Source organism: Homo sapiens, chromosome 2, assembly GCF_000001405.40.
Source record: "Homo sapiens chromosome 2, GRCh38.p14 Primary Assembly".
Lineage (NCBI taxonomy): Eukaryota > Metazoa > Chordata > Mammalia > Primates > Hominidae > Homo > Homo sapiens.
Window position 1 is genome coordinate 241,372,884 of NC_000002.12, and position 12,242 is coordinate 241,385,125.

A 12,242-nucleotide genomic window follows, 5' to 3' on the forward strand; every position below is an offset into this window, starting at 1 on the left:
GTTATTTTATGCTCCACCTATGAGTGCCTGAGTAGAAAATAATCTTTTGTAACACTTTCTTTTGACGTGATTAAGACTCACAGAAGTTGCAGTAATAGTACAGAGGATTCCCGTGTCTCCGATAATTTGTCTTTTACCTTGTTTTAGTACCTAAATAATGTGATAATTCCTTCATGTGGTTTTTTTTTTTTTCATTTTAGTGTTTTCTTCACTCATGGTGAAGAATGGGGGAGATAGAAGGAACATACAGAGTCCTGCAGACTGCAGGGATGCGCTTGGGTGCCCAGACCCCTGTGGGAGTTAGCACCCTTGAGCCTGGGCAGACTCTCTTGCCCAGAATGCAAGAGAAGCACCTGCACCTCAGAGTAAAGCTGCTGGACAACACCATGGAAATATTTGACATTGAGGTAAGAAGCATGATTTTTGGAGGCATATTTCCTTATATCTTCTAACAGTCAAATTATGTACCAAATTCCATTTTGCTGGTTAGACTTTGCATATTAAGTTGATCAAGAGTAGCTTTGGTAACACATGAGAAAATCCTTAGAAACAGTAAATCTGAATTTCTCCTTTTATTTGGAAAGTGGTATTGTATCTTTTGTTTAAAATTGTAGTACAATTTGGTCTTTCTACTCATCTTCTTTCGTGAGAGGCTGGCTAAGAGACTGCTGGAAGGTGCAGACTGGAGCCAGATGGTACACCCAGACCTTCCCAGCTTAAGCCACCTGGTCTCAGCGAGGCCCAGGCCACCTGGATGCGGGGATGCCACTTAGCTTCCATGTGTGTCAGCTTCCTTTTCTGAAACAGAGGGACAATTATAATCCCTCTTTCTCAGAGCTGCTGGTGAGAGGATTGAGCAAACACACAGAGCCTGTCATGCAGGAGGTGTTGTATGGTGTTAACATATAACTTAATTTTCTAGGTCAATGATAATACAGTTTTTATTTTGAAAATTCCCTGATAGAAGATTGCACTGGTAATATTAGCAAGAACAATTAAATATACTAAGAATATATGCATATATCAATATTTAAGTAACACTATTTTTTAGATCCATGTGATGTATTAGAAAACATTTTTTTGTTTTTCTACATGTTATTAGCATGAAAGTTCTTTTTATTCATCTTTTACTTTTTTTTTTTTTTGAGAAAGGGTGTTGTTCTGTCAACCCAGGCTGGAGTGCAGTGGTGCGATCATGCCTCACTGCAGCCTGGACCTCATGGGCTCAAGCGATCCGCCCTCCTCAACCCCGGGAGTAGCTGGGATTACAAGCATGCACCACCACGCCTGGCTAATTTTTGTACTTTTAGTAGAAACAGGGTTTTGCCATGTTGCCCAGGCTGGCCTCAAACTCCTGGGCTCAAGGGATCCTCCTACCTCAGCCTCCCAAGTGCTAGGATTATAGGTGTAAGCCACCGTGCCCAGCCAAAAGTTCTTTTTAAAATTATTTATTTTCATATGTAATACACAAATACATTCTCTTTTTTCTAATTTTTTCTGGCTTTCAAGTAACATCTTTAGAAGCTTTTCTTGCTCTTAATGGCACAAAAGTAAGGACAAGAGAATGAATTTAAACTAGCAGGAGGTTTATTTACACTTGGGAATTTCTTTTGAGGAGTCAAGATGCCACACAGAAAACAAAACTATTATTGAGCTGTGGACCTTATTGCGGAATGCATTGCATGGGGTGGGAAGGAGGGAAGAGGGAACACAGAGGAGGGGAGCTTGGTGGGTGGGGCAGTGAAGCTCTGAGCAAGGTGGTCTCTGGGTTTGAGTGTTGTTTGAAGGCAAGTATGGAGGGTGTAAGAACTCAGGGAACCTGGGTGCTTTTCTGAAGTGCTTATCTGAGGAGGAAGTGAAAGATAATTTCATCAGGGCCATGGTAACTGAAACTGGTAGGACCTGTCTGTCCAACTTCCCACATCACTTCTGTTGCAGAGAAGGAGGTCTGAAGCTGGGCAACCTTTGAACCCTGAAGAGTAGCAGTCGGCTGCCCTTTCACCAGCTCTTGGGTGACTTTCCTGTAGGAAATAGGTTAAAGTCTGGACACTTAATTAGGCTCCCAAATCTTTTTCTTTTTTGAGGCGGAGTCTTGCCCTGTCACCCAGGCTGGAGTGCCACGGCATGATCTCGGCTCACTGCAAGCTCTGCCTCCCGGGTTCACACCATTCTCCTGCCTCAGCCTCCCGAGTAGCTGGGACTACAGGCGCCCGCCACCATGCCCAGCTTATTTCTTTTTTTGTGTTTTTGGTAGAGACGGAGTTTCACCATGTTAGCCAGTATGGTCTCGATCCCCTGACCTCGTGATCCGCCCGCTTCGGCCTCCCAAAGTGCTGGAATTACAGGTGTGAGCCACCGCGCCCAGCCCCAAATCTTTTCAATCAAGTGTTTGGAGGAATTTCCACCATGTAGTCATCCTCCAATAAACACATTTACCATTGTCTAGGCTTGTAATAGGTGCAAAATTTAAGAGAAAAAAAGTGAAAGAAAAATAATTGTACTAATAGGTTTACTTTTAGAGTGTCTTTTTTTTTTGTTCTGCCTACTGGACTTTATCAACTAAAACTAGGACCCAGAAGAAAAAAGCACACATTTGTTGTTGAGTCATAAATAAGATGTAAATTCTTCTCTAAGAAATTCACCTTTACTGAGTATGAGTCATTTTATACCTAAGAAAATAAGAGATGCCATTTTGTGAAGGTTTTACAATATTTAGAGCTTGTCAGTTTTAATAAATTGAGATTATGGTTTCAGTTAAATATAACCGTCATGTTTGGTATTTGAGATATCTGGCAGAGTTACCAGAAATTAAAGAACTTTTATCTGAAGCAAAAGAAAATGGTCTTGCATATTCTGAATATCCTGGGTTGGATGGGGTACTTTTTTTTTTTAAGAGACAGGATCTTGCTATGTTCCCCAGGCCAGCCTCTAACTCTTGGACTCAAGTGATCCTCCTGCCTCAGCCTCCCAAGTAGCTAGGACTACAGGTGTGAGCCACTGTGCCAGCTTGGGGTATTTTTTACATTGTGTTGCCTGCTGATACACACCTTTAGGGAGAGCTAAAATTCAATATATTGTAAGTTGGTTGTATTCTGCTTCCAAGTACCCTGTCCTCCACAACTGCATCAGTTAGCTTTGTTAAGTAACAAACCATCCCAAACATGGAGCTTAAATCACAGGTCTGTTTGTTGGTTTGGAGGCTCTACTAGGCTGACTTGGAGGGTTGGGCAACCTGGGATTGCCTTACCCACACATTTGGCACCCTGGTTGGAACCTCATGTGCAGAATCTCATTCTCCCTCCAGCCCACTTGGCCTCATTTTTGTGGTCACAGAAACGTTCTCAGTCCAGAAGTGGGCACTGCAGTGTCCTTTGGGCTCTTGGCTTGGAGTTTGTCCATTGTCACTTCTGCCACATTTTATTAATCAAAGCAAGCTACCAGGCTAGCTCTGATTCGAGGGGTGGAGAAGTAGAGGCACCTTGATGAGAGAGCGGCCAGGAATTGGTGAGCATTTTTTGTAATCTACCCTGACAAATATTGCCAGTGTACCAGGATACAGCCTCTGGAAGTGCAATTGTCTGTGCCACTCTAAGGTTTGGTGTCAGTGGGCTGGTGTGTAGGGCCTGCCCTGAGTGGGCAGAGTCCCCCTCCTGGGGAAGTCCACCCTGCATAGCCCCACAGAGGCAGGCTTGTCCCGCCCCCCTTCCTTGTTGTCTTTGGATCAAGGCTGGTTGCCTGACCCGAGCCCACCATCACTGTCTTGCTGTCGTTTGTCCACTTGTCTCATTCGTATTCTGTCTTTCTGCCTCTTGACTTTACATTGGAACCAAGAGACAGACTGTGGTCAGGTGGTTTTTGCTGTTGGACCTGTAGACTGAGGCAGACATTCGGCTACAGGGTGTCGGGTGCACTGAGCAGTGAGACCCCTGGCTGGGCAGGTCTGTCTTGGTGAAGACACCACATCCTAGTGCCTGCTTGCTGTCTCCCTGCTCCTGAAATGCAAGTTCTGGGAAGGAAAGGCTGTATTGTATCTACTTCTGTGCCTCTGGTGTTTGGAACAGGGCCTTGCTGAGTAAACGTGTTAAATGAATGAAATCGAAAGTTAGATTTGGTTAACAGACTTTAAGAATGTTTTGAATTTTTCCCTCTATAGCAGTGTTTTCTAACCTCAGGAATTCAATTTTGTTTTGTTTTGGGGTTTTCTGGCCATATGCACCTATCTTATTTGTCAGTTTACTAGATTATCATTTCACTTAAGTCTTAAACAGTAGTGTTCTTCCAGGGAGATGTGCTGATATTAAACTTGAAAAGCACTAGCTTCTTCTGTATTCTCATGGCCAGAAAACACTGACATTGTGTGGTGCTGTGCAGATTCCCCAAGTTGATATTGGAAGTTTACATTTCAGGAGCCTTTTTAACATAGGGGAAATTTTGATGTTTTGTTGGTTTCTTTTTTTTTTTTTTTTTTTGAGACAGAGTCTCGCTCTGTCGCCCAGGCCGGACTGCGGACTGCAGTGGCGCAATCTCGGCTCACTGCAAGCTCCGCTTCCTGGGTTCACGCCATTCTCCTGCCTCAGCCTCCCGAGTAGCTGGGACTATAGGCGCCCGCCACCGCGCCTGGCTAATTTTTTGTATTTTTAGTAGAGACGGGGTTTCACCTTGTTAGCCAGGATGGTCTCGATCTCCTGACCTCAGGTGATCCACCTGCCTTGGCCTCCCATAGTGCTGGGATTACAGGCGTGAGCCACTGCGCCTGGCCATCTGGTGTACTTTAACTCATCTCTAGATTACTTATAATACCTCATACAATGGAAACACTATGTGAATACTTGTTATACTGTATTGACTTTTTTTTTCTATTATCTCTCATTGTACTATTACTTTTTATCATTTTGGTGGGGTTGTTTTTATCCTTTTTGATCATCAGGTGGATTTATCAAATCTGTGGATGCCAAACCTGTGGATACAGAGGACTGACAGAATACCTAGGAGTAGAATTGCTGGGTCACATGGGAAATCTAGGTCTAATCATTAAAGGAACTGCCAGACTGTTTTCCAAAGTAGCTGTGCCATTTTGCATTCCTGCCAGCAATGTTATATGTTCCAATTTCTCCACATATTTGCCAACACTTATTTTTTTCTGACTTTTTTATTCTAGCCATCCTAGTAGGTGTGTAGTAGTATCTCATTGTGGTTTGAGATGATATTTTTATTTTTATTTTATTATTTTTTTTTTGAGGCAGAATTTCACTCTGTCGCTCAGGCTGGAGTGCAATGGCATGATTTCAGCTCACTGCAACCTCTGCCTCCTGGGCTCAAACAATTCTCCTGCCTCAGCCTACTGAGTAGTTGGGATTACAGGCGCCCACCACCATGCCCGGCTAATATTTTTTTTTTTTGTATTTTTAGTAGAGACGGGGTTTCATCATGTTGGCCAGGCTGGTTTTGAACTCCTGACCTTAAGTGATCCGCCTCCCCCCCTCGGCCTCCCAAAGTTTTGGGATTACAGGTGCCAGCCACCATGCCTGGCCTATTTTTTTTTTTTTGAGTCAGGATCTCACTCTGTCACCCAGACTGGAGTGCAGTGGCATAGTCAAAACTCACTGCAGCCTTGACCTCCCCGGGTTCAGGTGATCGTCCTGCCTCAGCCTCTTGAGTAGCTGGAACTACAGGCGTGTACCACCATGCTGGCTAATTTGTTAAATTTTTGTAGAGATGGGGTCTCCCCACATTACCCATTTGTCTCAAACTCTTGGTCTCTAGCAATCCTCCTGCCTCAGCCTCCCAAAGTGCTGGGATTATAGGTGTGAGCTACCACACCTAGCCAGAAGCCAACTCGTAAACTGATTTTTGATCAGGAGAGAAATCTGTATGATGTATTTAGGGTGGAGGCCTATTTGTGGATGTTGACTTCAATTATGTTTTATTTTAAGCCACTTTTGGCATTTATTAATGGGATATTTAGCTAATCAAAGGTCAGTGACTAGTTTTTTTATCTAGGAAAGTCTTGATTTGTTTTTAGTTGATTAAACAAATTCTGTGGTTTTGAACATAGAAATCTGGCCTCAGCTCTAAAGAATCTTGTTTTTGAGCCATAATTGTTTTAAAACCATCTGAAAGTTGTGTGTCAGCTTGCCTTGTCTTGTGTGCTAAGTCATCGGGTAGAAATACTTTCAGCTCCAAACCATGCCAGGTGTGAAAAGTGTCTAACTCCATTGCTGGATGCAGTGGAAGGAGAGTTGAGGTGCATAACTGAGACCCCGTTCTAGAAAGTCTTCCCAGATCTTTAGAGGGTAAGATGTCTAGAACAATTATACTCTCATTAATTCATAATTAACTCTTAGGTTTAGGAGTTAATGCGATTTAAAGGTTTTCTATTATCTGAAAGTTAGTATTATGGAGAAGAGATATGTAATGATTAAAAGAACAACCTGGGATGCAGTTTAAGGGTGTGAGGCCTTGCCCCTGGCAGCGAATGTCCTTTGCCTTTGCTGACAAGTGGGGATTGCATCTAATGAGCATGAGGGTTTTCTTCATTATTGTTCATCTACTTTCTCACGTTCCCCTTTTCTTTAACATACTCACAGTTGTTAGGGTGGACTTTCCTTTTCTTTCTTTTTTTCTTTAGAATTGCAGAGGCTTTAGGTTAAATAGTGACAAGTAGGAAGACAAATTCTCAGTCACGAAGTTCTGTGCTAGAAGACTTTAACTTGCTATTCCAGTAAAAACTTAATGTTTTCATTCTGGCAGGAAGAAATAGTCAAAATTCCAGAAAGTATTGTAGCCAGATGTTTGTCATTGCTCCCACACGAACATCCTAAATATAGCAAATAAACTGCCTTAGAACTTATTTTGGTCTGACCTCAGAAGAAAAAGTAACTCAGCTTCTGAAATTTGGGGATAATAGAGGTTTTATACAAAAGCTCTTATGTGTTTCTGGGATACCAAGCTATTATGTGACTCTGCCCTAGCTTTTAAAACCTGTTATTTTGTCTTGGAAAGTTGATCTATTCCTTTGACCCTGATGCTCAAGAATGTGGTAGGGTGGTGCACAGCAGAGATGTGGACATTTTTATTCTTAGTTTTCCAGTGGTGATGTTGGCACTCCCAGAGCCAGCTCCCCCACCAAGCCCTAACACACATACACAAGCAAGGTTGGTAAGTCACAGTCTGTGTTAGATTACACAGCAAGGGCGACTGATGAAGAAGTTAGGCCAGCAAATGGAAAAGAATAGGGAAATGTCATCCTATTGATCCCTGTACCAGTGAAGACGCCATGACAGTGGTTGTATAGCAGAGAATAACCAAGTTATTTCAGGATCGCAGCAGAGGGTTGTGGGAATGAAACTTGCTGACTGGGTCACCTGGACTCGCACACCATTTGTTGAGCACCTGAGAGTTCTAGCACCCAATGTTGATCACATATCAGGTGACACAGGCAGTGGCTGACCCATGTGAGCTGTGAGCGCCAACTCAGAAACCCCTTGATCTACTCGTGCCCATGTAACTCCCCCATTTTTGATCAGGAGAGAATTTGATTCTGTTGTTATTTGATTCGTGGGAGGCTAGAAAAGCTGAGCTTGTACAGGTTGAGTATCCCTTATCTAACATGCTTAGGATCAGAAGAGTTTCAGATTTTTTTCAGATTTTGGAATATTTGCATTATGCTTATTAGTCAAGCATCCCGAATCTGAAAATCCAAAACCTGAATTGTTCCATGAGCATTTCCTTTGAACATCATGTTGGCACTAAAATTTTTTGAATTTTGGAGCATTTCAGATTTCAGATTATTATATTATAATAATAATATATTATATTATATGGGATTATATTATATGGGATGCTCAACCCATACTATATTTTACTTGACTGCCTCTGAATTGCCACTACCCTTCAGTTCTTCTCATCCCTCCCCTGAAACTTCAAATGTCTACATTCTTGGCCCAACTCCCTGCAAAGAGGTCAGAATCAGGAGGAGGAGTGGGTGGGTAGTGCGTGTTGAACATGCCCTGCCTCCACTGAGCAGGTTCTTCTGGGCCTCCATGACCAGTGTGCCCATCCCCACTCTGTAGCTGGCTTCCACCTGGGGCAGGTTAGGACCAGGTTTTAAATCTCAGCCCTTACCCCCCTGATGGAATGTGGACATGAGTCTCTTCCAGGGCTGGAGATTACATTCTCTTTCCCAACATGGGCCCATCCTAGGGGATTGCCTCGTGCCGCTGGTGTTCTGCCAGTCTCTTTGTTCTCTGTGTCCGTTTCCCTCCTCTGGAAACCCCACTCTGCTGTGGGCCCTGTACCTGGCCTGTTGTGGGCTATAAGTAGTGCCGCTCCTGGCCTGTTCTGATTGCCACCGCCAGCCACTTTGTCCTGGGGTGCCACTCCCCTCTAGTGCCCAAAACCTTTTAGACTCAGCTGTACCCCGGCCTGCTGCTTGTTGTTGTATTGTGGAGAAATTCCTCAAGGTGCTCTAGGCAGGATTGAGGACCGCTGACTTTGAGAAGAGTTCACAGGCTCTGGAGCGTGGACTTCCCACCTGAGCTCCCCTCAGCCTGCCTCATCCATCAGGCACCTTTTGCTGATGCCATTTCTTTCTCACCCTCATTTCTCCCCTTCTGTTCATCCTTGAACACAACAGACCTCAGAGCCCTCTTCTCCACAGCTGGAAGGTGCAGTGCTTTTCAGGGTTCTGCTGGCACTTCACTTCTGGGGGCATTTTTCAGTCATATCGGCCTCACGTAAGGAAGCTAATTCTACATTATTGTTCCTTTTTAGGTATAGAAAGTAGTCATGAATCTCCAGAGAGCTGATGGTAGAATTACAGTGATCTCTGTTCTTTGAGAGAGTGCATTCTACTTTTTTACCTTACCAAGTGTTACATGTATATTTTTCAAGTTATATGATTATTTCACAGATTATGTGTTCACAGTGGTTTAACACTTGCACTGCAGCATCTCAGCTTTCTGGGGATGAAGCTGCCCCTGGTGAAGCCCCCCAAGTCCTTTCCTGCATGTCGAGCAAAGGCCCATTGGGTTACATGCTGCAGCTAGAAGACCAATCAACGCCATCTCTCAAGGTTCCTCATGCTTCTTTTTTTAGAGGGAATTCATCCAAAATGTAATTCGGTTTTCATTATACCATTAATACTTGTACGCTGCAGAAAAACAGGAACTCACAGTGGCCCACAGCCAAAGATAACTACCCAGAGAGAACAACCATTCACATTTTTCTGAATACCCTTCTGGCCTTTTATATGTTCACCTATATTAAACAAAATTGGGACTGAACTATGTGCATTTTTGTAGTCTTTTCAAAAATTAAACATTATATTCTGAACTTTTTTTATATGGTCTTTTAAAAGTTTTTAATGGCTATATAGTGTTCTATTTTCAGTTTCTCTGTACAAAATCTATTTTTTTTTTTTTTTTTTTTGAGGCAGGGTCTCATTCTGTTGCCCAGGCTGGAGTGCGGTGGTGCAATCCAACCTCCGCCTCCTGGGCTCAAGCGATCCTCACACCTCAGCCTCCCAAGTAGCTGGGACTACAGATGTGTGCCACCATGCCCGGCTAATTTTGCATTTTTTGGAGAGATGGGGTTTCCCCATGTTGCCTAGGCTAGTCTTGAACTCCTGGGCTCAAGCCGTATACCAGCCTTAGCCTCCCAAAGTGCTAGGATTACAGGTGTGAGCCACCACACCCAGTCTATACAAAATCTTTATACACATTTTTTATTATCTCCTTGGGGTAAACGTATAGAAGTGGAGGTTCTTCATCAAAGTGTATGTACAGTTTTGAGGTCTTTGATACATGTTGTGAAATTGTATTCCAGAAACAGCAGAAGCACCTCATGCCCCTACCAGTGGTATATGCAGGTGTTCATTTCTCTCACCTTTATGGACATTTCATATTACAATTTTTAGTAACATCTCCTGTTTAATAGGCAAAAGTTAGGATTTTTATTCACATTTTCATCAGACTTGTCTGTTTTATTTTTTGTTTTGTGCAGTTTTTGGTGTTTTTGGTCTACATCATATTTGAAGTTTAAAAATAACTTAAGAGTTGGGAAGATACTGAATACATTGTGTTGGAAGTAAAATAAAAAAGGAAATAAGAATCGAGGAGTGCTGGAGACTTCGCAGAAAGTGATTACTTATGGTGAAGGAAAGGATAGAAAAATTACGGAAAGCCACACAGATGGGATGTGGGTTTGGGCTGTGCTCACCCCAACAGCCTTAGGCCAGCACGTGTTTGGCAGGTATTTGCTGAGCCTCGGTGTGCACCACCCTCTGCCGTCGGAGCTGGGAGTGCCAAAGTGAACGTAGCAGACAGGAGCTCTGCCTCCTTGCGCTTGTTCGGCAGTGGGGAGCTCAACAGTGGACAAGGTATACTGCGAAGTGCTTAGTGCCCAGGAGAGAAATAAAGCACGGAGGGAGCAGGAGACATGGAGCTGCGCTCAGATGGAGATCCACATCCCACACTCCCACAGCCCTGTTCCTGTGGTGGGAGGGGCCGGCACAGATCTCTGTTCTTGAGAACAGTGTTCAGGTGGATGGAACAGCACATGCAGGTGCCATTAGGTGACCCCCATCTGGCACGTTTGGGGATTAGCAAGAGACCATGTGGTGGGAGTGGAGCAGAGAGGCATCTAGGAGGGCTTCTGCTCACATGGAGGGAAATGGAACTCCACCCAGGACGTGATGACTTGGTCCAGAACCAGGTCAGGACAAGAGGGGAGCCTTTGGGTGACATTTGCGGTGACCCAGGATGTGGCTTGGGCAGAAGGGAGCAAGGGAGGTAGTGAGAACCAGTTGCATCCTGGAGAGATTTTGAAGGTGGAGCCTGCAGAATTTGCTGGTGCTGATGTGGAGGATCAGAAACCCAGGAGCCAACATGGTGCAAGGACTGGGCCTGAGCTCCCATGTCCTGCACTAGGGAGCCCATGGGAAGAGCTGCTTTGGTTTGGGGCCATGTGGAGTCGAAGAGGCTCATTAGGCATCTGAGGAGAGGGTTCTCAGGCACTGGGCTTGGTGGGAAGAAGCGTTGTTGCTATGTCCTGAAGGAATGTGAGCTCTTTTCAGTGCACCAGATGCAAGGCGGCCATTGCTGTGACCTTCCAGAAGGTGCTAACATTGCCCTTCTGTGAAGCCACCACTGTTATCCCGCTGGGTCATGGTGAATGCCAAGTGTCAGAGATATTCTGACACTTGGCATTCACCATGACCTAGTGGAAGCCTTTGGGTGACATTGCAGTCACCCAAAGACAGCTTTTCTAAACTGTCATCAGTCTTCGACTTCTGAACTTTTATTCTTAGAGAAATTTAGACTGGTCATTAAAGAGAAACATGAAAAGTATCTGTTGGCACTTCCAACTGTTGTTATTGGAATGCTCTGGAATGTTCTATGCACATGAATGATGCTTTACATGTACAGTTTTGCACTTTATATAGCAGCAGCTTTTTGCCACAGTGGTAGAGGGGATCCCAGTCCTACTTAAAGGCTTTTTCTGGTTTCTAGGAAAGTCAGAAAGATATTCTTTCCTCCTTGATCCACAATCTTAAACACTTGCCTGGAACTAATAAACTTCTGAAAAGCTAGTGATGAGAATCCGTTGCATCCTGGAGATGCAACTGATAAGTTCATGGATCAATCTAAAATATATTTCTTTGAAATAAATCTAATATTCCTGATTATGAAAAATACATTCCTTCTTAATCTTCTGGTTTTAGATATTGATGATGTTTTCTCATAATTACACTTTTTAGATTTGTTTGGTCCTTGCTAATATGCATCCATATGCTTTTTGCATGTATTGATATTTGAAACTGGTAAAGTCAGATCTTTGTAGCAGAAGAAAAACCTCTTTTTTATTAAAGCAATTTTCAATTAAGACAACTCAAACATGGCTTAAAGGCTCTAGACATTACTATCCTAGGAAAAATGTTGGAACATACATGCTAAAAATACACAGTGAGCTCTTTTAAAGTAAACATCTTAAATCAAGGTTATTCAGCTTTATATTGTTTGCTTCTGGCTTTAATTTACATCAATTGTAAATTTCTTAAAAACATAGAAAATAATAGAAACATGTCCTAAATTTAATTATGAATATTAATTGTATTAAGAAATGAAATTGTAAATTGTACATAAGTCCTAACATCATATAAAATTAGACTTGTTAGCTTAACATAAGCAAAAACAACCATCTTGCGAGTCTTTCATCAGCTCTTAGTAAAACACAGGATTTCG

At 43.2% G+C, this 12,242-nt stretch overlaps 1 protein-coding gene across 9 annotated transcripts in view; it reads left to right on the forward strand.

The window, feature by feature from the left end:
- Positions 1-12,242, forward strand: part of FARP2 (FERM, ARH/RhoGEF and pleckstrin domain protein 2) — a 138,557-nt gene that overhangs the window by 16,599 nt on the left and 109,716 nt on the right. For all 9 annotated transcript variants that reach the window (XM_047446511.1, XM_011512233.1, NM_014808.4 and 6 more), the window contains exon 2: positions 201-407. In XM_047446511.1, the coding sequence (XP_047302467.1) occupies positions 225-407 (183 nt within the window). In that variant the 5' untranslated portion in view covers positions 201-224. The remainder of the gene's footprint in view (positions 1-200; positions 408-12,242) is intronic.